At 41.1% G+C, this 25,206-nt stretch overlaps 1 protein-coding gene and 1 non-coding gene across 2 annotated transcripts in view, besides 5 other annotated features; both read left to right on the top strand.

Moving 5' to 3' along the window:
- Positions 1 to 25,206, top strand: part of SPEN (spen family transcriptional repressor) — a 92,750-nt gene that overhangs the window by 40,451 nt on the left and 27,093 nt on the right. Inside the window, exons 4-5 of the mRNA NM_015001.3 lie at positions 21,164 to 21,324; positions 22,944 to 23,144. Coding sequence (NP_055816.2) covers positions 21,164 to 21,324; positions 22,944 to 23,144 — 362 coding nt within the window. The remainder of the gene's footprint in view (positions 1 to 21,163; positions 21,325 to 22,943; positions 23,145 to 25,206) is intronic.
- Positions 5,141 to 5,285: an enhancer, noted in NCBI's record as "145 bp enhancer 216 fragment used in the MPRA reporter construct; PK_construct_3899". NCBI's record gives its function as "activates an SV40 promoter by MPRA in HepG2 cells {active_cell/tissue: HepG2}" and the evidence as "EXISTENCE:reporter gene assay evidence [ECO:0000049][PMID:23512712]".
- Positions 5,208 to 5,218: a transcriptional cis regulatory region, noted in NCBI's record as "NFE2L2 motif; enhancer activity is reduced when this motif is scrambled". NCBI's record gives its function as "necessary for full MPRA enhancer 216 activity {active_cell/tissue: HepG2}" and the evidence as "EXISTENCE:site-directed mutagenesis evidence [ECO:0005528][PMID:23512712]".
- Positions 5,215 to 5,274: an enhancer, noted in NCBI's record as "active region_251". NCBI's record gives its function as "activates an Ori minimal core promoter by ATAC-STARR-seq in GM12878 lymphoblastoid cells {active_cell/tissue: GM12878}" and the evidence as "EXISTENCE:reporter gene assay evidence [ECO:0000049][PMID:35858748]".
- Positions 19,423 to 19,623: a silencer, noted in NCBI's record as "peak83 fragment used in MPRA reporter construct". NCBI's record gives its function as "represses an SCP1 promoter by STARR-seq MPRAs in K562 erythroleukemia cells {active_cell/tissue: K562}" and the evidence as "EXISTENCE:reporter gene assay evidence [ECO:0000049][PMID:32103011]".
- LOC124904815 (small nucleolar RNA U13) lies at positions 22,740 to 22,840 on the top strand. The gene has a single exon (XR_007067411.1). It is a non-coding gene; the product is annotated as a small nucleolar RNA U13 (small nucleolar RNA).
- Positions 23,843 to 24,043: a silencer, noted in NCBI's record as "peak84 fragment used in MPRA reporter construct". NCBI's record gives its function as "represses an SCP1 promoter by STARR-seq MPRAs in K562 erythroleukemia cells {active_cell/tissue: K562}" and the evidence as "EXISTENCE:reporter gene assay evidence [ECO:0000049][PMID:32103011]".

The following is a 25,206-nucleotide window of genomic DNA, read 5'->3' on the forward strand; positions in this document are numbered from 1 at the left end:
GAGTGCAGTGGTGCTGTCTCAGCTCACTGCAACCTCCACCTCCTGGGTTCAAGCGATTCTCTTGTCTCAGCCTCCTGAAAACAACAAATTTAAAAATAAAAACTGCCATGTCAAATTGTATTTGTTTGACTTGGAAGCAAACTATGTAAACTCTTTTTTTTTTTTAATTTTATTATTTTTTTTGAGGCAAGAGTCTTGCTCTGTTGCCCAGGCGGAAGTGCAGTAGCATGATCTCGGTTCACTGCAGCCTCCACCTCCCAGGTTCAAGTGGTTCTCCTGCCTTAGCCTCCCTAGTAGCTGGGATTACAGGCACACGTCACCACGCCTGGCTAATTTTTGTATTTTTAGTAGAGACAGGGTTTCGCCATATTGGTCAGGCTGGTCTCGAACTCCTGACCTCAGGTGATCCGCCCAGCTTTGCCTCCCAAAGTGCTGGGATTATAGGCATGAGCTACCACACCCAGCCAAAGTATGTAAACTCTTTTTTTTTTTGAGACAGTGTTTTGCTCTTGCTGCCCAGGCTGGAGTACAATGGCGCGATCTCGGCTCACCGCGACCTCCACCTTCTGGGTTCAAGTGATTCTCCTGCCTCAGTCTTCGGAATAGCTGGATTACAGACATGCGCCACCATGCCCAGCTAATTTTGTATTTTTAGTAGAGACAGGGTTTTGCCATGTTGGTTGGCTGGTCTTGAACTCCTGACCTTAGGTGATCCACCTGCCTCGGCCTCCCAAAGTGCTGGGATTACAGGCATGAACCACTGCGCCCGGCCAATCATTTTTACTTATGGTAAAACTTTACTCATTGCAGTTTAGGTGATCTTGTTCTTTCCTTATATCTCTTTTGGGGTGTTTGTACTTGGAAGTTCTCTATGGTCATTCTTAGAAGCCAAGGCACAAATTTACCTTGCCCCAAACAAGGAATCATGCGTGTCCAGAAATTAAGGAAAATGTAGGAATTCTCATTTTAAAATAAACATTAGCATTTTCTTTCTTTCTTTTCTTTTCTTTTTTTTTTTTTTTTGAGACGGGGTTTTTTGCTTTTATCACGCAGGCTGGAGTGCAATGGCTTGATTTCGCCTTGCTGCAACCTCCGCCTCCCAGGTTCAAGCAGTTCTCCTGCCTCAGCCTCCTGAGTAGCTGGGATTGCAGGCATGTGCCACCACGCCCAACTAATTTTAGTATTTTTAGTAGAGATGGGGTTTCACCATGTTGGTCAGACCGGTGTCAAACTCCTGACCTCCAGTGATCTGCCCACCTCAACCTCCCAAAGTGCTGGGATTACAGGCATGAGCCACCGTGCCTGGCCAACATTAGCATTTCCTGGAGTTCAGAATTAGCTGAGGTTTTATTCTTTATACAAGCACCCCTCTATCAATCTGTGTCTTAGAGTACAAACTGAATTGGCTTCAAAGGGTAGTCTTGCTGTCCATTCCTGTGTGAGAAAATGGAAAGAGCACTCTCTGGTCATTTACTTACTTATTAGTTATTCATTAAGTTATATGCTACTGGAGTTTACTGGTGCTAGAAATTATGATATCTCTATAGAACACCTTTTTTTTTTCCCCATTATTTGAGATGGAGTCTCACTCTGTTGCCCAGGCTGAAGAGCAATGGCGCCATCTTGGCTCACTACAATCTCCATCTCCCGGGTTCAAGTGATTCTTCTGCCTCAGTTTCCCAAGTAGCTGGGATTACACGTGCCTGCCACCATGCCCAGCTAATTTCTGTATTTTTCAGTAGAGTTGGGGTTTCACCATGCTGGCCAGGCTGGTCTCGAACTCCCAACCTCAGGTGATCCACCCGCCTCGGCCTCCCAAAGTGCTGGGATTACAGGCATGAGCCACCGCACCCGGCCTATAGAACATCTTTCCAAATCCACTTTGTACTATAAATAAACTTCCTATGTCCAGGTAGACAAAACAGTAAGTGAAATAGCTTTAAAAATGTCTTTGCAGAGTTCGTTTCTAAGAATTTCACTCATCCTCTAAAAACTTTCATTTGGTATGGAAGAGAGATGTAGATTAGAAATATATGCTAAGATGAGGGCAGTAAAACATTTTCTTACAAATAGGTGGGAACACATTATATACAGTTCAATAACATCAGGTTGACATTTTTATTTTTATTTTTCATGTGATCTAGGCTCACTGCAACCTCTGCCTCCCGGGTTCAAGCGATTTTCCTGCCTCAGCCTCCCGAGTAGCTGGGATTACAGGCACGCACCACCACACCCAGCTAATTTTTGTATTCTTAGTAGAGACTGAGTTTCACCATGTTGGCCAGGCTGGTCTCGAACTCTTGACCTTATGATCCGCCCACCCCGACCTCCCAAAGTGCTGGGATTATAGGCATGAGCCACCGTGCCCGGCCTGGTTGATATTTTTAGATTTTGACTCAGGTTTTTTTTTTTTTTTTTTTTTTAAGACTGGGTCTTGCTCTGCTTCCCAGGCTGGAGTGCAATCTCTGCTCACTGCAACTTCCACTGTAAAATTCACCCATTTAAGTGGACAGTTAATGCTTTTTAATACATTTACAGCATTTTGCAACCATCACCATAATGAAACTAGTGCATTTTCATGACCCCGAAAAGAAACCTCATACCCGTTAGCAGTTGCTCTCCATTCTTTTTCTCCCCCAGCCCAAGGCAACTGCTAATCTATCTCTATAGCCTATTCTGGCCATTTAATAGAAGGAAAATCATACCATATTGCGGTCTTTTGTGACTGGTTTCTTTCACTTAATATGTTTTTGCAGTTCATCCGTGTTATAGCATTGATCAGTACTGGTGCACTGAATAGCCACATTTCAAGTGCTCAATAGCCACATGTGACTAGTGGCTGCAGTACTGGATATCCTAGCTAGAAACAAAAACCTCCCTAATAAACCAGCATATCATCCTTCAGGAGAAAATGGTAGGCCTTTGTAATGCTTAAGCGTAGCCCAGAAATATATGTGTGTGGGTTTTAACAAAGAAATTCCGTTTACAGGAGCTAACACTTAGAGGTTTAGCACATTTGGAAATAATTGCTATGAAAAAAATTTTTTTTTAGAGGCAGTCTTGCTCTGTCACCCTGGCTGGAGTGGTGGTGCAATCATGGCTCACTGCAACCTTGAACTCCTGGGCTCAAGGGATCCCCTCACCTCAGCCTCCTAAGTAGCCGAGACTATAGACATGCCACCACACTTAGCTAAATTTTTTTTTTTTTTTTTGAGATGGAGTCTGGCTCTGTCGCCCAGGCTGGAGTGTAATGGCACCATCTCGGCTCAGTGCAAGGTCCGCCTCCTGGGTTCACGCCATTCTCCTGCCTCAGCCTCCCGAGTAGCTGGGACTACAGGCACCCGCCACCACGCCCGGCTAATTTTTGTATTTTTGGTAGAGATGGGGTTTCACCATGTTAGCCAGGATGGTCTTGATCTCCTGACCTCGTGATCTGCCCACCTCAGCCTCCCAAAGTGCTGGGATTACAGGCTTGAGCCACCGCGCCCGGCCTTGTTTTTTGTTTTTTGTTTTTAAGCGATAGGGTCTCGCTATGTTGCCCAGGCTGGTCTAGGTCTCATGACCTCAAGTGATCCTCCTGCCTTGGACTCCCAAAGCACTGGGATTACATGCATGAGCCGCTGTACCTGGGCTAATATAAAAACCATTAAGAAAAACTAATGTCATGGTGTCATGTTAATAAATTCACATATATCTCAGTAGAACTGTTTAAAAATATACACATCAAGTTCTGGAGACCTGGTTTTTTTAAAAAAAAAAAACTTATTTATGTTGGCTACATGTTCAAATGATATTTTGAATATATTAGGTTAAATAAAGCATATTACTACATTAATTACATCTGTTTCTTTTTACTTTTTTTTTTTTTTTTTTTTTTTTTGGAGATGGAGTCTCGCTCTGTCGCCCAGGCTGGAGTGCAGTGGCGTAATCTTGGCTCACTGTAAGCTCCGCCTCCCCGGTTCACGTCATTCTCCTGCCTCAGCCTCCCGAGTAGCTGGGACTATAGGCACCTTCCACCATGCCTGGCTAATTTTCTTTTTGTATTTTTAGTAGAGATGGGGTTTCACCTTGTTAGCCAGGGTGGTCTCGATCTCCTGACCTCGTGATCCGCCCACCTCTGCCTCTCAGAGTGCTGGGATTACAGGCGTGAGCCACTGCTCCCAGCTCTTCGTTTTACTTTTTAAAATATGACTATTTGAAAATTAAAATTTTGTGGCTTATATTTCTACTGGACAGTGCTCTTCTAGAAGCAAGCTCTATTAAGCTGTAATGTCACAAAATAATTTGTGTATCAATTTAGTGCTTTTCATTTTGTTTAAAGACAAATAGAGTTTGTTATTTTTCTTTTTTTAAATTCCCTAAACCCTTCTATTCTCTTGGAAATGATGGGTTAATAGAAAAGCCTCTTGGGACTGTTATGCCTAAAATATAAACTGAACTACTTCCAGATTCCATCTTCAACACTTCAAGTGTTGGTCAGGCTAAAATGCCTGTTTCCAGGGTGGCTGAGGGAATGGCTCAACCGAAATATTTATTTCAAAGTCCAGGTTCCAGGCTTAGAAATATGTTAATATCAAAGCCCCTAAATAAATTAATTTCCCAAGGAGAAAATCAAATAACCAGAGTAAATTTATTTTTAAAATTTAAAAAACAACTTTGGGCGGGGCACGGTGGCTCACGTCTGTAATCCCAGCACTTTAGGAGGCTGAGGCAGGCAGATCACCTGAGGTCAGGAGTTCAAGACCAGGCTGGTCAGCATGGCAAAACCCCATCTCTATTAAAAATACAAAATTAGCTGGGCGTGGTGGCATGCACCTGTAATCCCAGCTAATCAGGAGGCTGAGGCAGGAGAATCGTTTGAACCCAGGAGGTGGAGGTTGCAGTGAGCTGAGATTGCGCCATTGCACTCCAGCCTGGGCAACAAGAGTGAAACTCTGTCTCAAACAACAACAACAACAACAAAAACACTTTCATCTGATGATCATTTTTAAGTGATGGCTAGTACTTTTGATAGAGGTTTAAAATATGTCTGTTTACATACTGGTGCTAATAGACTGGAATTCAGTTGTTGGAATTAGAAGACAGAAATAATACACATCTGTGTTGCTTCTAGGCATCATTTGTATAACCCAAACTGGAGGAGTTCTGTGATTCTTTATATGTTATTTTCGATGGTGGTAGGGAGGGGCAGATTAGCTTCCTGAATATGCTGTGTCATGGTGTGTGGAGCCATCTTGGACTGTAGCTTTGTATCTGTCACTGGAAGAAACTGCAGAGAAGTAATTATATTTAAGCAGAAGAATTTTAGCCTGAGGTTTCTTACTGAGTAATTCGTAGTCATTTATAAATAAACAAAAAAGTATACCAAATAGCGGATGGCTTAGGCTTTCTGGTAGGGAGTTAGGTGCCTTTCTAACTCCTTGTCCCTGCAACTGCCCTAATGGAGAGTTCAGAAGCAGGAAAGAGCAAACTTCTTTTTCATTCTGGATAGAGAGGAGATGTCATTAGTATCAAAGTTAAATTGAAAAAAGGCCAGTACACTCAAGCCTGGGCAACAGAGCGAGACCCTGTCTCTTAAAAAAAAACAAAAAAAAGCAAGCCAATTGCAGTGGCTCCCGCCGTAATCCCAGCACTTTGGGGGAGGCTAAGGCTTGAGGATCACTTGAGGCCAGGAGTTTGAGATCAGCCTTGGTCAACATGGCAAAACCCTGTCTCTACTAAAAATACAAAAATTAGCCGGGTGTGGTGGCGTGTGCCTGTAATCCTAGCTACTTGTGGCTGAAGCTTAAGAATCACTTGAACCCAGGAAATGGAGGTTGCAATGAGCCAAGATTGCACTACTGCACTCCAGCCTGGGCGACAGAAAAGGCAAAAACCTCAAACTTCAAATTTGCTTATGGGTTTGGTAAGGCTACATCAGTTGTATGTGACCACTTGGAATTAAAACACACACACACTCACTTGATCTGTGTGCTTTCTTGGCCTGTGCCTTCTGAAACATTTTAGTTTTTTCATACAAGAAATATCAGATTCTATATACCGTGTGACTAAGGGAATGAGAAAATCCCATTGTATTTGACAGTTTAAATTTTCTCATCTTTTTTGTCTCTTAAATAAAGACTGCTGCCACGTTGGAAGGATTTCTTGTTCTTAGGCAGACATGTTACATCTGCTTACTGCTTTCAGGGAGCATGCATGTTTGATGCTTTTTGCTTTGAGTTACTTGAGTACAAGGTTTTCTGAGTGTGAAGGGTCCAGTAAAGCCCACCCAAAAAGAAGTCACATGATTCTTAATAATAGATTAACAAAAACGTAGCCTCTTTCCATTTTTGCTACTGTTATTAGGACAGTAGATCCTAAAACTACCATATTATGGTTGTTTTTTTTTTTTTTTTTTTTTTTGAGACGGAGTCTCGCTCTTTCGCCAGGCTGGAGTGCAGTGATGTGACCCTGGCTCACTGCAACCTCCGCCTCCTGGGTTCAAATGATTCTCGTGCCTCAGCCTCCAGAATAGCTGGGATTACAGACACGCGCCACCACACCAGCTAATTTTTGTATTTTTAGTAGAGACGGGGTTTCACCATGTTGGCCAGGTTGGGCTCGATCTGACCTCCTGATCTGCCTGCCTTGGCCTCCCAAATGCTGGATTACAAGCGTGAGCCACCGCGCCCGGCCCATATTGTATTTTTAATGCCAAAGCTTATAAGTCTTCAAAAAAGTTTTTTTAAATTGTAGTAAAATATACACAGCATAATATTTACCTTTTTATTTTTATTTTTATTGAGACAGAGTTTCGCTCTTGTTGCCCAGGCTGGAGTGCAGTGGCGCGATCTTGGCTCACCGCAAACTCTGCCTCCCGGGTTCAAGCAATTCTCCTGTCTCAGCCTCCTGAGTAGCTGGGAATATAGGTATGTGCCACCACGCCTGGCTAATTTTGTATTTTTAGTAGAGACAGGGTTTCTCCATGTTGGTCAGGCTGATCTCGAGCTCCCGACCTCAGGTGATCCGCCCGCCTCGGCCTCCCAAAGTGCTGGGATTACAGGTGTGAACCACCCATTCCTGGCCTCATTTTAACCATTTTTAAGTGTATAGTTCTGTGCCATTAAGTACATTAATATTGTGTGACCATCACCACTATCCATTATCATTAAACAATAACTCCCATTCCTCCCTCTCTTAGCCTCTGCTGACTACTGTTCTGCTTTCTGTCCTCATGAATTCTTGACAGCTCTAGGTACCCATATATGTGGAACCACACAGCATTTGTCCTTTTGTGTCTGGCTTATTTCACTTAGCATAATATTTTCAAGGCTCATCTGTCTTGTCACATGTATCATAATTTCATTCCTTTATAAAGGTGAATAATATTCCTTTATTCTTTTTGGGTAAGCTTTAATTATCTACCAGATACCCTGTTGATCAACATAATCCTTTTGCTTAACTCTACCAAAAGATAGTAGTAAACTTTAAAACATTAACTACTGCTGTAATTGGATCCCAAATAATTACTTATACTTAACCTTTTTTTTTTTTTTTTTTTGGAGACAGAATATCACTCTGTTGCCCAGGGTGGAGTGCAGTGGCATGATCTCGGCTCACTGCAACCTCTGCCTCCCAGGTTCAAGCGATTCTCCCACTCAGTCTCCTGAGTAGCTGGGACTACAGGCATGCGCCACTGTGCCCAGCTAATTTTTTTTTATATTTTTATTAGAGTTGGGGTTTCTCCATGTTGGCCAGGCTAGTCTTGAACTCCTGACCTCAGGTGATCCACCTGTCTCGGCCTCCCAAAGTGCTGGGATTACAGGCGTGAGCCACCATGCCCGGCCTATACTTAATCTTTTGTGAGCATGCTAACCACATAAAGCATATTTAAACACAATTTTAAACAGCATTTTCTGCCAAAATAAGGCACTTTTATAAAATGCAGTATTTTAATGATTTTTTTCCTCTCATTTATGTAAACTATTGGACTTGAGAATAGATGAGGAATAATAAAACTGATTAATTATTGTGTTTGATTTTACCATCACTTTTTTTTTTTTTTTTTTTTTTTTTTTTGAGACAGTCTCACTCTGTCACCCAGGCTGGAGTGCAGTGGCGGGATCTTGGCTCACTGCAATCTCCGCCTCCCAGATTCAAGCAATTCTCCTGTCTCAGCCTCCCACGTAGCTGGGACTGCAGGCGTGTGCCACCACTCTTGGCAAATTTTTGTATTATTTGTAGAGACGTGGTTTCACTATATTGGTCAGGCTGGTCTCAAACTCCTGACCTCAGGTTATCCACCCTCCTCGGCCTCCCAAAGTGCTGGGGTTACAGGATTGAGCCACTATGCCCAGCCTTTACCATCACTTTAGTGACCATCAACACTAAATCTAGTTAAGCCTAAATCTTACCTATTGATTAATTTATTACTTAAGTGGAGCCAGTACCTGCCTAAGGTTTAGATTTGTTTGATGTTTATAAATATTCAGAGGTGAAGTCTAGATGGATAGTAGGAGAGCTTTAAGAAGTTAATTTCTGAGGTCCAGATTTTGTACTAAGTAATCTTTAGGAAGTGTTATTAGTTGTTTATATCAGCAATAAAGGGTCATTGTAATCAGAGGAAAAATTACTAGCTTGGGCAACATAGTGAGATCCTGTCTCTACAAGTAATTTTAAGTGTTAGCCTGGTGTGGTGGCGCATGCCTGTTGTCCTAGCTACTTAGGAGGCTGAGGTGGGAGGATTGCTTGAGCCCAGGAGGTTGAGGCTGCAGTGAGCCATGAGTGCACCTCTGCACTCCAGCCTGGATGACAGAGCGAGACCTTGTCGTGAAAGAAAAGAAACATTAGTGTTGGTGGTTGGTTATGGTTCTCTTTCCACCTCCAGCTTTGTCTAGTAAGAGAAAGCTTTCTTCCTTTGTCAGTTTCACTCTACTAATTCAGTTAATCATTATCATATCAGCTCTTTTCCCGTTAGAAATCTTTGTAGTTTCTGATGACCGGAGAAATCTGATAGACCAAACAAAGTTGAAATTAAAATATTGGTTACATAATAAAAACTTTGTTTTTTGGAGATGGAGTCTCGCTTTGTCGCCCAGGCTGGAGTGCAGTGGTTCAATCTCGGCTCACTGCAACCTCCACTTCTGGGTTCAAGCGATTCTCCTGTCTCAGCCACCCGAGTAGCTGGGACTACAGGCGTACGCCATCATGCCTGGCTAATTTTTCTTTCTTTTTTTTTTTTTTGAGACGGAGTTTCGCTCTTGTTGCCCAGGGTGGAGTGCAGTGGCGTAGTCTCGGCTAACCGCAACCTCCGCCTTCTGGGTTCAAGCGATTCTCCTGCTTGTAATCCTGAGTAGCTGGGATTATAGGCACCAGCCACCACACCCAGCTAATATTGTATTTTTAGTAGAGGCGGAGTTTCTCCAAGTTGGTCAGGCTGGTCTTCAAACTTCCAACCTCAGGTGATCCCCCCGCCTCGGCCTCTCAAAGTGCTGGGATTACAGGCGTGGGCCACCACGCCTGGCCTAATTTTTGTATTTTTTAGTAGAGATGGAGTTTCACCATATTGGTCAGGATGGTCTCAAACTCCTGACCTTAGGTGATCCACCTGCCTCGGCCTCCCAAAGTGCTGGGATTACAGGCTTGAGCCACTGCACCTGGCCGCATTTTTGCTTTTTAATGTATCAACACAGCATTTTCTTAATACTATCCTAAATTTAAAGAGTTTAGATCGCTTTTCAATAACTTTGGCTCTAAAGGGCTTCATTGATGATTTATACAGTTGAGTCCTGCAATGCTTTCCCCGTTTCTTTTGTAATAGTTGCACAGTCACCAGTTAGGTCTGACTCATTGCCCTGATGTCATCTCTGAGGAAGTTTACCTGGGAAAGACAGGCTGTGAGACCCCTTGATTGAGCAGAGCATTGTGGGCAAAAAGCAGCAGGTAGCTTACTTTGACTGGTTTGGAATCGCTTATCTTTTTCTAAGGAACAAAGGAGAGTGACCACTAACTTTGTATTTTACTTCTTAATTTATCTTTGTGTGTGTGTGTGTGTGTGTGTGTGTGTGTGTGTGTAAAATAAAATTTACCATTTTAACGACTTTTAAGTGTTCAGTTCAGTGGCACTTAAATACATTGACATTATTTTGCAACCATCACCACCATCTATCTCCAGAACTTTTTCATCTTCCTCAACTGAAACTCTATACCCATTAAATAATAACTCCCAATTCTCCCTTTCCCCCAGCCCCTGGCAACCACCATTCTACTTTCTGCCTTTATGAAGTTGACTACTCCAGGTACCTCCTATAAATGGAATCATACAATCTTTTTTGGGTATGGCTGGTTTATTTCATTTAGCATAATATCTTCAAGGTTCATTCATGATGTAGCATTTGTCAAAATTTTTTTTTTCTTTTTTTCTTTTTTTTTTTTTTTGTTTGAGACAGAGTCTCACTCTGTTGCCCAGGCTAGAGTGCAGTGTCTCAGTCTTGGCTCACTGCAACCTCCACCTCCCAGGCTCAAGCGATTCTCCTGCCTCAGCCTCCCGAGTAGCTGGGATTACAGGCATGTGCAACTACCGCCTGGCTAATTTTTTTGTGTTTTTAGTAGAGATGGGGTTTCACCATGTTGGCCACGCTGGTCTTGAATTCCTGATCTCAGGTGATCCGTCCACCTTGGCTTCCCAAAGTGCTGGGGTTACAGGCGTGAGCCACTGCACCCAGCCAAAATTTCCTTTCTTTAAAAGGCTGAATAATATTCTATTTTGTGTGTATACCATATTTTGTTGACTCACTCATCTGTCGATAGACACTTGGGTTGCTTCCACCTTTTGGGTGTTGAACATGCTATGAATGTGAGTGTACAAATATCTAGTTGAGTTCCCGTCTTCATTTCTCTTGGGTATATAACCATAGTGGAATCGCTGGTTCAGTGGTAAGTTAGCGTTTGGGGAACCCCATGGCTGTACCATTTTACTTTCCCGTCAGTAATGCACAAGGGTTCCAATTTCTTCACATCCTTGCATTTGTTATTTTGTTTGCTTGTTTTTTTGAGACAGGATCTCACTTTGTCATCTAGGCTGCAGTGTAGTGGTGCGATTTTGGCCCACTGCAACCTTGACTTCCCAGGTTCAAGCCATCTTCCTGACTCAGCACCCCCGCCAAGTAGCTGGGACTACAGGCACATACCACCATGCCTGGCTAATCGTTTTTGGTAATTTTTTGTAGAGACGGGGTTTCGCCATGTTGGCCAGGCTGGTCTTGAACTCCTGAGCTCAAGTGATCTGCCTGCCTCGCCCTTCCAAAGTGCTAGGATTACAGGCGTGAGCCACTGCGCTCGGCAGTTTGTTTTTAATAATAGCCATCCTAGTGGGTGTGAAGTGATGTATCATGTGGCAGAGTTTTTTTTTTTTTTTTTTTTTTTTTTAAGATCCTGTGTTGTTTATGCTGAACTCGAACTCCTGGGCTCATGCTGTCCTTCTGCCTCAGGCTCCCAAGTAGTGTCAACTACAAGTATGAGCCCAGTTTCACATGGTTATGATTTGCGTTTCCCTAATTATTAGATGTTGCGCATTTTTTCTTGTGCTTATTTGCCATTTATATATCTTTGGAGAAATGTCTTTGAAGTCTTTGACCAGTTTTGAATCAGGTTGCTTTTTGTTGTTGAGTTGTAGTGTGGTTTCTATGGTTGTTGTTTTATTTTTTTATTTTATTTATTTATTTATTTTTGAGAGAGAGTGTCACTGTCACCCAGGCTGGAGTGTAATGGCGCTATCTCGGCTCACTGCAACCTCTGCCTCCCAGGTTCAAGCAGTTCTCCTGCCTCAGCCTCCTGAGTAGCTGGGACTACAGCTGCATGCCACCATGCCTGGCTAATTTTTGTATTGTTAGTAGAGACTGGGTTTCAGCATATTGGTCAGGGTGGTCTTGAACTCCTGACCTCAGGCGGTCCACCGTCCTCGGCCTACCAAAGTGCTGGGATTACAGGCATGAGCCACCACCACTGGCCTGTAGTGTGCTTTTTAAACGAAATTAAAAATGTCTTAAAATTATAAAGCAAAATACCCTATTAACCTTATTGTGTAAAATAGACCTTTTTCTAATTTCTTCTGAGCATTGTACTTTGGTGAGGAAAAATCTAATTGTGATATTAAACTACCACCTTCAGGCCCTAGGTTGACGGTAAGGAAAGCTGTTGCGGTAAAAACCATTTCAATATGAATGGAATCGTTTTCATTGATGTAAACCTTACACTAGAGTATGAGTAAGCAATATTGTATATATTTTACTTACTACTTGTTTAAAAATTATAAAATGGTTTTGTCTATAAAGTAGTGACCTTGGTTTTGAATGGTGAAGTTAATATTGTAAAAAAGTTGTTTATACTTTACCTTTTTATCAGGTTGTCCAAAATCAAGTGACACCAGAGTGTTTTAGATCTCAGCTTCTTCTTGAGGAAGTTTGATTTTCAGAAGTTTACATTTTTTTCTTACAATTCAAAGATTTTTATGAAATGATACATTAGTAATGAGGAAGAATAATCAATGTTAAGGATCCTGCGTTTGGATTGCAGCTTGAAATTAGCATGTTGGTTTTTCAAAAGATGGGAAAGCAGTCCAAGAAATAATACAGGCCAGGGTTTCTCAGTCTTGGCACTATTCACATTTGAGACCAGAGAACTCTTTGTTGGGACTTTCCTGTGCACTGTAGGGTACTTGGTAGATGCCAGTAACCCTACCCCACCCCACCCCCACTGTGACAACAAAAATGTTGTAGAACCCTGCTAAAACTAGTAGGGTCCTTGAAAGATCATGAGGTCTGCTAACCGCTAGGGAAATTCAAGTTAAGAGAGGCAAAATGAAGTGTCTTGGCAGGTCACTCAGTTGATTATTTCCTTGTTATTTTTTGGAGTAAAAAAAAAATAGAGGCTTGAGTCAGGTGTGGTGGTGTATGCATGTAGTTCCAGCTTCTTCTAGGGTGACTGAGACGGGAGGACGTTTGAGCCCAGGAGTTTGAGGCCAGCCTGGGCAACATAGTAATACCTCGTCCCTTAAAAAAAAAAAAGGTGTAGGGGCGGCTGAGGCAGCAGAATTGCTAGAACCTGGGAGGCAGGGGTTTCAGTGAGCCAAGATTGCGCCGCTGTACTCCAGCCTGAGCGAAAGAGTAGAGACTCTGTCTGGTAAAAAAAAATAAAAAAATAAAAAATAAAAATAAAAAAAAAATAGGCTGGGCGTGGTGGCTCATGCCTGTAATGAGCCAGGAGGCCGAGGTCAGCAGATTGCTTGAGCTCAGAAGTTCGAGACCACCCTAGACAACATGGCAAGACCCTGTCTCTACTAAAAATGCAAACAAAAAAAATAGCTGGGCGTGGTGGTTCATACGTGTGGTCTGTGGTCCCAGCTACCCAGAAGGCTGAGTTGGGGGGATCATTTGAACCTGGGGATCGGAAGTTGCAGTGAGCCGAGATCACGCCACTGCACTCCAGCCTGGGTGACAAAGTGAGACTCCATCTCAAAAAAAAAAAAAAAAAAAACACCAACAAAAGAGGCTTAAATTCAGATTACATCAGAAGTGGTGGAGTTGAAAATGGTAATGGTGTCACATCAGACTGCTGAACTGTTTTTAAAACTTTCTAGGCTTGACTTTACATTTTAAAATTATTGGGCTTTCATTTATTGTGGACAGTATCTATTGACATTTGCCGTATTGAAATTTAAACTTTAAAATTTTTATTTTAGTGAGAATGACGTTTTATTTTTTGAAAACCTTTTATTTTTTACTTATTTATTTAGTTTTTTTTTTTTTTTTTTTTGAGACAGTCTTACTCTGTCACCCAGGCTAGAATGCAGTGGCATGATTTCGGCTCGCTGCAACCTCCACTTCCCAGGTTCAAACGATTCTCATGCCTTAGCCTCCCAAGTAGCTGGGACTACAGGCATGTGCCACCACGCCCCGCTAATATTTGTATTTTTAGCAGAGTTAGGGTTTCGCCATGTTGGCCAGGCTGATCTCAAACTCCTGACCTCAAGTGATCTTCCTGCCTCAGCCTCCCAAAGTGCTGGGATTACAGGCGTGAGCCACTGTGCCCGGCCTGAAAATCTTTTAAACGTCTGGTTTAGTAAGATAGTTAGATTCTCATAACCAATTCTGTATTCAAACTGTGATTATAAGGTTTTTTGGGTGAAGTATATGAAGAAAATTTGGCCTCACACAGATACACAGTTGAAATAGGGAAGGTCTCACAGATCTCCTAAAAGGATTTTGGGTCCTCACAGGTCCTCTTACACTTAGATAACTGCTGCACTAGAAAGATACAATTTGGACTTATAAAAAAAATGAGATGTGGAAGTATTATTACTTGCTGTGGTGATGCATTCTGTTTAAGAGATTATGGGCCAGGAATGGTGGCTCACGCCTATAATCTGCACTTTTGGAGGCCGAGGTGGGAAGGTCGTTTGAGCCCAGGAATTGGAGATCAGCCTGGGCAACAAAGTAAGACCCCGTCTCTACAAAAAATAAAATAAATAAAAGTTAAAATAAAATAGATGATTATTCTAATAGAAATTAGATAAGGACCAGTGGGCACCCAAACCTGATTGAAAATCTTTTCTTTTGACCCCAAATTATATATTGATTATATGGAGAGAAAAATTATTAGCTACCTGATGGTTAGGGAGATACCTGGTTATGACAAATGGGCCCTCTAACTATGTTAGTTGCAGTGTTTTCTAATTGCCCTAATCGCTCCTTTCTGAAAATATTGGTTTATGCCAGAGTTTTGTTTCTCAACTTAATTTGGTTAAATGTCTTTTAGTCTTCCAGCTTTAAAAAAAAAACCAGTATAGATGCATATTTGCCGTAAGTGAATGTTTACAAATAATAGAGGGATACAGAAGTCAGTAACTGGATGTCACTCTTGTACGTTAACAAATATATCCCTGAGTCATCTTATAAATAGCATACTCAGTGCCTTGGCATTTTCAGTGGTAAGAGTCAAATGCTCATGTAGTTCTGTTTGTAAAATGGCTGCAGGAATAGGATTAGTTGATGGCATGATATCATTATTTGGTTTATGAGAATCCTAGCATCCTATATTCTGTTCGTTTATTAAGAATTGTTATGTAACCAGTTGCCTACTCTTATATTTCTTCATAAGGAAATACTGGTCAGATCTGGTTCTTCATTTTTTCAATAATCTTAATTACAAATTATAAGAAATAATTTGTCCTTAATTGTCTTTGGAAATGTGGTTAGGAAAAGTGGAACTAGGTTTCTTTTAAATTGTGTTCCAGCCCAGGCTGGAGTGCAGTGGCACCATCACACCTCACTACGCCTCAACCTCCTGGGCTTAGATAATCCTCCCACCTTAGACTCCTAGGGAGCTGGGACCACAGGCGCATGCCACCATGCCTAATTTTTTGTAGAGATGGGGTTTTGTCCTGTTGCGCAGGCTGGTCTCAAACTCCTGGGCTCAAGTGATCTGCCTGCCTTGGCCTCCCAAAGTATTGTGCCTGGCCTCAAATTGTTGTTGTTTATGAAAAGACTGGGGTCTTGCCATGTCATGTGCATGCTGGTCTCAAACTCCTGAGCTCAAGGGATCCTCCTGCCTCAGCCTCCAGAGTAGCTGGGACTATGCACTGTGCCCGGCTTCCAATTCTTTATTTAGAATGATACTTTTAATTGATATTGAACATGTAATATTGTTGTGCTTGGGTAAATTCCACTTTCTTAAAACAATTAGTCAATATACCATTATTACTACTTCTTTAAGACAACTTAGATTAGCTTCTGATGAACTATTTTTGGCTTTTAAGAAACAACTGAATACTATATCATGCATTTTGATGAACTGTTGTGATTCTTTAGCTCTAACAAAATTGAGAACATAAAAAATTTTTAAAAATTAAAATGGACAAGAATTCCAGGCATTTGGGCCTTCTGTCAATTTAGTAAGACTGAAAGTATTTAGGGGCCTACATTCATGCCCTCATTTTGATTCAAGATCTTGAAATCCATGGTACATTGTAGTTTAGGTTAGCATATCACAATGTGAACTCGAGGCCGAGCGCGGTGGCTTATGCCTGTAATCCCAGCACTTTGGGAGGCCAAGGCGGGTGGATTACTTGAGGTCAGGAGTTCGAGACCAGCCTCACCAACATGGTGAAACCCTGTCTCTACTAAAAATACAAAATCACCTGGGCCTGGCGGCCAACAAACTACTTGGGAGGCTGAGGCAGGAGAATCACTTGAACCTGGAAGGTGGAGGTTGCAGTGAGCAGCACTCCAGCCTGGGCAATAAGAGCGAAACTCCATCTCAAAAAAAAAAAAAAAAAAAAAAAAAGTGAACTAAAAACTTGTACCATTTTTATTGTTTCATAATTAATTTTAAAACCAGTCTCCCCTTCTAGTTGCCACTTCACATTATTCAGCAGATGATTCTGAAAGTTAAATTCTATATCTTGTTTCAGAATTGGTGTGGTAGCAGGGGATTCACCCAAAAAGAGTGTGATAATTTTTTTTTTTTTTTTGAGGTCTCAAACTTCTGAGCTCAGGTGATTCACCTGACTCGGCCTCCCAAAGTGCTGGGATTACAGGCATGAGCCACCGTGCCTGTAATAATGTTTATAATAATGGCCTGTGATAATGTTTATAATAAATCTGTTTAAATGTTTACAATAAATCTGATTTCTGCCATTATTTTTATACTTTATTTTAAAGGCATTATCACCATTGATTGATTATCTTTGTCTCTCTCTTTTTTTTTTTTTTGAGACGGAGTTTCGCCCTTATTGCCCAGGCTGGAGTGCAATGGCGCAACCTTGGCTCACTGCGACCTCTGCCTCTTGGGTTCAAGTGATTCTCCTGCTTCAGCCTCCGGAGTAGCTGGGATTACACACACACACCACCACACCTGGCTAATTTTCTATTTTTAGTACAGATGGTATTTCACCATGTTGGCCAGGCTGGTCTCAGACTCCTGACCTCAGGTAATCTACCTGCTTCAGCCTCCCAAAGTGCTGGGCTTACAGGTGTGAGCCACTGCGTCCAGCCATCTCCATTTTTATTTTTATTTTTATTTTTATTTTATTTTATTTATTTTTCAAGATGGAGTTTTGCTGTTGTTGCCCAGGCTGGAGTGCAATGGCATGATCTCGGCTCACTGCAACCTCCGCCTCCCGGGTTCAAGCGATTCTCCTGCCTCAGCCTCCTGAGTAGCTGGGATTACAGGCATGAGCTGCCACGCCCAGCTAACTTTTGTATTTTTAGCAGAGATGGGGTTTCACCATGTTGGCCAGGCTGGTCTCAAACTCCTGACCTCAGGTGATCCATCTGCCTTGGCCTCCCAAAGTGCTGGGATTACAGGTGTTAGCTACCATGCCTGGCCTTCATTTTTATAATACAAACTTGTGTAGAACTTTTTGTTGCCTTATTAATGATTTCTTTTTTCTTTTTTTGAGATGGAGTCTTGCTCTGTCCCCAGGCTGGAGTGGAGTAGTGCAATCTTGGCTCACTGCAACCTCCACCTCCCGGGTTCAAGCAGTTCTCCTGCCTCAGCCTCCCGAGTAGCTGGGACTACAGACGCACGCCACCATGCCCAGCCAATTTTTTTGTATTTTTAGTAGAGACCGGGTTTCACCATGTTGGCCAGGATGGTCTTGATCTCTTGACCTCGTGATCTGCCTGCCTCAGCCTCCCAAAGTGCTGGGATTACAGGCATGAGCTACCGTGCTCGGCCCTTGTTAATGATTTCAATAGCCGTAAATTTTGCTTTTGCTCGTGATTGTTTACTTCTGTAACCACTGTTGCTAAGGAAATTTGGTGTATATAATATTGGTAGTATTGTAATTAAAATATTTTCCTTAATGTTTACTTTATGATTATTGCCATTGACTAAGTTGATAAGTCACATAACATATTCTATACTGTCATCTGGTGGCCTTGTGAATAATCTTGTATTAATATTACTTGGAGTATTTAACATGTATAACAAGTATCTTTTTCCTTCTGTGCTAAAAACAGAAGATTGATTTCATTAAACCCTAATGTCAATGACAATATCGTATTCAGGATAGTATTTACTTAATACTTGTAACACTGCTTTTGCTGGATGATCAGCAAACATTTTTTCTTCTTATAGATGGGAAAGCTAAACCTAATTCATTGATAAGGGGCCTAGCAATGACAGCTTATGATTTTATCTCAAGGCCTTTATCCTTAGTAGTTTGCACTGACAGAGGTTTATTTTCCTACATTTCAAACCACTATCAGAAAGTGCTGATAACCTTATTAAGCTTTCTTTTTCTTTTCTTTCTTTCCTTTTTTTTTTTTTTTTTTTTTTTTTGAGACAGTCTCGCTCTGTTGTCCAGGCTGGAGTGCAGTGGTGTGATCAGAGTTTAATGCAGCTTCTGCCTCCCTGGTTCAAGTGATTCTCATGCCTCAGCTTCCAGAGTAGCTTGGATTACAGGCACGTCATGTGCCACCAAGCCTGGCTAATTTTTGTATTTCTAGTAGAGATGAGGTTTCACCATGTTGGCCAGGCTAGCCTCGAACTCCTGGCCGCAAGTGATTCACCTGCCTTGGCCTCCCAGAGTGCTGGGATTACGGTCGTGAGCCACTGCACTCGGCATGTTTTCATCTTTTTTTTTTTTTTTTTTTTTGAGACAGAGTCTCTCTCTGTTGCCTAGGCTGGAGTGTAGTGGTATGACCATGGCTCACTGCAACCTCAAACTCCTAGGCTCGTGATCCTCTGCCTCAGCCTCCCCAGTAGCTGGGATTACAGGTACGTGCCACCATGCCCAGCTAATTTTTTAATTTTTCTTTTGTAGGGGATGGGGTGTTGCTATGTTGACCAGGCTGGTTTTGAACTCCTGGCCTCAAGCAGTCCTCCTGCCTCAAAGTAGTGGGATTACAGGAACTAAGCCACTGCACCCAGTCAAGTTTTCATCTATTGCTTTAACATGTGAGAGCTAAAAATGGTGTGTAAATTATTAGTTTTCTAGAAACATCTTTAGTTTTCTATAAGAAAACATAGAACTTATTTAGTTTTAAAAAAATGCTGTAGCGGCTGGATGTGTTGGCTCATGCCTGTATTCCCAGCACATTGGGAGGCTGAGGTGGGCGGATCACTTGAGGTCAGGAGTTTGAGACCAACCTGGGCAACATGGTGAAACCCTGTCTCCACTAAAAATATAAAAAATAGCTGGGCATGGTGGTGCGTGCCTGTAATCCCAGCTACTCGGGAGGCACGAGAATCACTTGAACCCAAGAGGTGGAGGTTGCAGTGAGCCACGATCGCACCACTGCACTCCAGCCTGGACAACAGAGCGAGACTGTGTCTCAAAAGAAAAAAAAAGGTCTGTAGCAAATTTTTTTCAACCTAAACTTGGACTCATTTGTCTGAATGGATTAGTGATTGTCCTGAATATGAGAGCTGTAGTTCTAGTGCAAAGACAGAAACTACCCTGGGTCTTTTCCTGTAGCTAGTGTGCTTAAGATGGATTCACCACTCAAAATGATTTGCTTGAAAAGTGAGGCCTCTATAACATGGGGGAGAATATGAAGCAAAATTTCAGAAAGATAGCAAAATCTGTAAATAACTTTTTATTAACCTATTTGAGAATGCCATAAAAGCAAGCCACAAAAGTCTTGCATGTCCAGTACTGAAAAGAGAATTTTATGTTTCTCACATAGTTCTTAGGCATAATAAAGTTTTTTTCTATGAACTTGCATAGAGAAGTAAGGCATAATAAACTTATTTAAATGTATTTTTTTCTTAATTTGACTGTGTAAGTAGCATTTCCTTCTTGTCCTTCAGTTGACTCTCTTTCTGTTTGAGGATTTTATTAAACTGAAGAGATTAGTTTCATTAACTCTCACCTTTCCATGTTATCACAGTGAAGAAAGCCTAAAGTAACATGATCTAGTAACTTACATAATATTTATTCATTAGTCCTTCAGTAATTTAAAAATTGCACCTACCTGGAAAATTATTTTGGGTATTGTTTTCCTAAAAATTACCCATGAGGTAGTAGTGCTACTACTACTACTACTAACAGTAACTGAGCAGTGCTGCTTCATTTATTTATTTATTTGTTTGTTTTGTTTGTTTTAAAGACAAGGCCTGACTCTGTTACCCAGGCTGGTCTCAAACTCCTGGCTTCGAGCGATCCTGCCACTTCTGCCTCCCAAAGTGCTGGGATTATAGGTGTGAGCCACCACACCCGGCCCTGTTTTATTTATTGGATACCTGTCATATTCCAAACTCTCTAAACTTTTGCGTTTCTTTAATTCTTTTTTTTTTTCTAAGATGGAGTCTTGCTCTGTCACCCAGGCGGGAGTGCAGTGATGCGATCTTGGCTCACTGCAACGTCTGCCTCCCAGGTTCACGCCATTCTCCTGCCTCAGCCTCCCGAGTGGCTGGGACTGCAGGCGCACGCCACCACACCCAGCTAATTTTTATATTTTTAGTAGAGACGGGTTTTCACCATGTTGGCCAGGATGATCTCAGTTTCTTGACCTCACCCGCCTTGGCCTCCTAAAGTGCTGGCATTACAGGCGTGAGCCACTGAGCCCCATCTGTTTTATTTAATTCTTAACCCTGTGATATAGGTACTATTATAATTATTTTCATTTTACACACTTGATATTGGGGGAAATTGGGTATGATGCAATTTTAGAAATACTATTTTCATTTAGTTTCATTATGTTGGCTGATAGTCCTGTGTTCCATGTGGTAACTTTAGGCATAAAATTATGATAGGAAACCCATTTCAAAGGTGTTAAGTGATTTGTCCACGGACATGTGCTATATGTCTGATCCAAGATTTGAATCTAGACCTCTGAATCCCAAACCCATATACGCACTATTATTATTATTACACTAAGTGAATTGAATTCACTAGTCTTACTTCATTTGAAAAAAAAAAGTTCAAGTTATTAATAGAATGCAACACTTGCATTGGTGGTATGTGGTGGTAAATGAAGATTATACTTTTGTGCTCCTGCATATTTATTGTCTTCTGCCACCTCTGAAGGTAGAGTACGAGATAGATGTGTAGAATGCAGGGCCTCCAGAAATTCCAGTCTGAAAATTTAGACCTATTAGTTATTTTAAGAAGTTTTCTAATGCTGCTCATTTTCTGTTTGTCTTTTCACTAAAGTTTGTTGTTGTTGCCTTTTTGCAGCAGTGATTCCAGCAGTAGTTCAAGTGATGATTCTCCAGCTCGATCAGTTCAGTCTGCAGCAGTCCCTGCACCCACTTCCCAGTTGCTTTCATCTCTGGAAAAAGATGAGCCCCGTAAAAGTTTTGGCATCAAGGTCCAGAATCTTCCAGTACGCTCTACAGGTAAAATTTTGTGTGAATGTCCTTTCCTCTGTGCTACTACTGAGGAATGAGGTATGATACTGCATTACATTGAAATAACTTTGGGCATAAAATTATAATGGAAAACCCATTTCGAAATATTAACGTTTTAAATGAGGAAAGCCATGAATAATGGAAAAGTCTGCTTAAGCTATTCTGTGGTCTCTACTGGTAATATTTTTAATTGACAGCTGACCGTAATATACTGTTACTCCTACATTGGTCATGTTGAGCATGTAAACAAGTTAAAACTATTAGTAGATAGTCATGCCAACAAAGACCAAATTAAGTATTTTTTAGCTAAGTGTATTTCAGTGATTGCTTAAATTATTTACTAAAATAGGGGCCAGGCGCGGTGGCTCATGCCTGTAATCCCAGCACTTTGGGAGGCCGAGGCGGGCGGATCACGAGGTCAGGAGATCGAGACCATCCTGGCTAACATGGTGAAACCCCGTCTCTACTAAAAATACAAAAATTAGCTGGGCGTGGTGGCGGGCGTCTGTAGTCCCAGCTACTCGGGAGGCTGAGGCAGGAGAATGGCGTGAACCCAGGAGGCGGAGTTTGCAGTGAGCTGAGGTCAGGCCACTGCACTCCAGCCTGGGCGACAGAGCGAGACTCTGTCTCTAAAAAAAAAAAAAAAAAAAAAAAAAAATTATTTACTAAAATAGCCTAAAAACTTATGTATCAGGTTTGTGAATAGAGTTATTGAGATACTAATGTTGATGAGCTTTTGATTTAGAGTACTTGGTAATTTAGAAATGGACAAGGGAGTAAAATTGGCTTGCCTTTCTATACACCTTTTATATTTCTAATAAAGCAAATTAACACAAGACCCCCAGATGGTATGATTCATCTGTAAAGGATACTAAAATTGTTTAGCATGCTACATGACACTTCTCACACAATTTTATCATTGAGATGATCCTTGGAAAGATAGACGATGCCTTTCCATTTCAAGTCTTTAACACTTTATAAACAGACATGTAAAAGTTTTATTATGAAACCTACCCCAAAGTAGAAGGAATAGCAAAATGAACTCCCCTTATATAATATCCAAGATTCAGAAATCATCATTTTGCATTTTTGCTTTATCTGTTTCCTGTCTTCCTGCTTTCCTACTGTTTTTTGTTTTTTTTTTTACCTTTAAGGTGAATCCTTGATGTTGTTTTATTTCATACCTATTTACACACGTATATTTATGTATATATCTATAATATATAAGGGCATTTTTCTGGATAACCACAGTATCATTCTTACCTAACAAAATAACCAATACTATCATCTAACAGTTTATTTTCAGAATTGTACAATAATCTCGAAACCGTGTTTTTAGAGCTTTTTTGTTTGAAAAAGTAATGTTTTAATGACAATAAAATTTAAGTCAAATCTCAAGCTAGATCCTTTTGTGGTTCATAAGCATGATGATTGGGTTTTCATGCTGTGTGAGGTGTGCCTCCCTCAGACCTTGTTATGACATTAGTATATTACCTGTCTGACATGAACAAAAAAATGAGAAAATCAGGCTAAAGATTTAGTAGGTTGCTTATTTAGTTATAATTAAATTAGAAGAATTAATAACTTGGTTTTTTTTGGGAATTTAGATACAAGCCTTAAAGATGGCCTTTTCCATGAATTTAAGAAATTTGGAAAAGTAACTTCAGTGCAGATACATGGAACTTCAGAAGAGAGGTATGGTCTGGTATTCTTTCGGCAGCAAGAGGACCAAGAAAAAGCCTTGACTGCATCAAAAGGAAAACTTTTCTTTGGCATGCAGATTGAAGTAACAGCATGGATAGGTCCAGGTAAGACACAAGCAAGCTGAGTTTGAGTTACTCATCACACACACTGTTTGTGTTGCAGTGTATGAGAGGGCAGCATATGATCCTGAATGAGGACACTATTCTGGCTTTATTTATTGACATATTTCCATTGTCTTCTGTTTTAAAAGATGGTTCTATTTATTGTTCAACTTAATAAAAAACATTGTTTTGGTTAGGGAGGATAGATTTTTCTGTTGCTGTAATGGAGCCTTGCTGACTGTTAAGAGTCTGAAAGGCAGAACTGTGTAGACCCTTATTGAGTCCAGCCTTCCCAAAAGGATTGAATTTATCAAAACTAGGAGGTAGCTCCTAGGAGTGTGACAACAGAATTACCTTGAATTGGAAAGGAAACTACTTCTGGTTGGGCGCAGTGGCTCATGCCTGTAATCCCAGCACTTTGGGAGGCTGAGGTGGGTGGATCATCTGAGGTCAGGAGTTCAAGACCAGCCTGGCCAACATGGTGAAACCCTGTTTCTACTAGAAATACAAAAATTAGCTGGGCGTGGTGGCGCACGCCTGTAATCCCAGCTACTTGGGAGGCTGAGGCGGGAGAATCGTGTGAACCCGGGAGGTCAAGGTTGTAGTGAGCTGAGATTGCACCACTGCACTCCAGCCTGGGCAACAGAGCAAGACTGCATCTCAATAAATAAATAAAAAGAAAAAAGAAACAAATTACTTAATATTGATGTGGGGGACTTGTTAGACCAGTTTTATTTCTATTATGTCCAATACAAGTTGGGTCTGTTTTTCCAGCTTGCATGACCTTGAAGACAGAGTAACAGGAATAAGCCTTATGGGTGCAACCCACTGAGAATTTCCAGGGAACATTTATTATCTTGAACCTACCTGTGGAACCTGTTATAAGGCAGGAAATCTTCTCACACGTGGCTTGCATTGGCATTTCTCCTGTTTCAGGACCGCCTGCAGTACTTGTTTAAAAATGCAGGCTCTTTAACCCTGCCCCAGCTTACTGATTCAGAGTTTATACACTTAAGTTTGGGAACCCCTGATTTAACAGAACTTGTGAATAAATTTGTAAAGGAATCAATAGAAACATTAAAAATTTATAGTCACTTTATGAAGCTGAGACACTTGAACTTTAAGACTTTAAGTGGAATTTATAGGGTAAACATGGCCTGTTATAGGATAAATATGAATATTCTTGTAATATTCATTTATTAGATAATTAAAAAGAAAAAAATGTAGTTCCCCTGGTGAGGATGCACAAATATGTTATTTGTATGGTAAAACTGGCACGGAATTGTTAGGGTGACCACTGCAAAATGGTCACTCTGTGATGTTACAATGAAACATAACAATTCAAAGGAATATTATCTTTTCAAAGGATAATAGGTTAAGCCTTCACAGTCCTTCTTCCATCAAGTTTGAGATGGATTGCCCTAAATTTTACTAAGCTAAGAGCAACTCCAGGAGTTCTTTAAAATTTAACACATTTGGAACAGGTCAGAACGGCTTGAGAAACATTTAGAATGTCATATATGTTTCTAGAGCCAATTATAATTATTAAGTAAGGAGGATCTCATCCAGGGGCATTCAGTATGTAACTTTTATCTCTAGATGGTAGGGCTAGCTTGAGATTTTTACTGTAAAAAGCTTTTAACCTAGTTATTTAGCACCTAGGAAATAGGCTTTACCTACTTGCCAGTGAAAATTTTGAGAAGTTTGGTTGGTTCAAGTATAGAAAAGCTAACTACTTTTCCCAGATAGGACAACATTAAAACCAGTTAAATGGGATATGTGAAAGCAGTTGAATTTTGAGTATGGAGACTAGGTTGGAATTATGCTCTCAGATGGTTAAATCATTAATGTTATATTGAAATGTATTGAGCTGATTGCTTAGGTCAAGGATTATTTTCAAAGATCCAAATCCAAGAAACCTAACTTTGCATATAGACCCATTGGTGGCTTCTAAGATTTCTTTTCCCATACATTGCATTACAATCCCCTAAACATGAAATTACAAGTTCAAGAAGTTTTTTCCCAAAGGTGTGTAGGCATTAAGACTTTGACTGGTTGTGAAGGT

This window comes from Homo sapiens, chromosome 1 (assembly GCF_000001405.40).
Source record: "Homo sapiens chromosome 1, GRCh38.p14 Primary Assembly".
NCBI classification, from domain to species: Eukaryota; Metazoa; Chordata; class Mammalia; order Primates; family Hominidae; genus Homo; species Homo sapiens.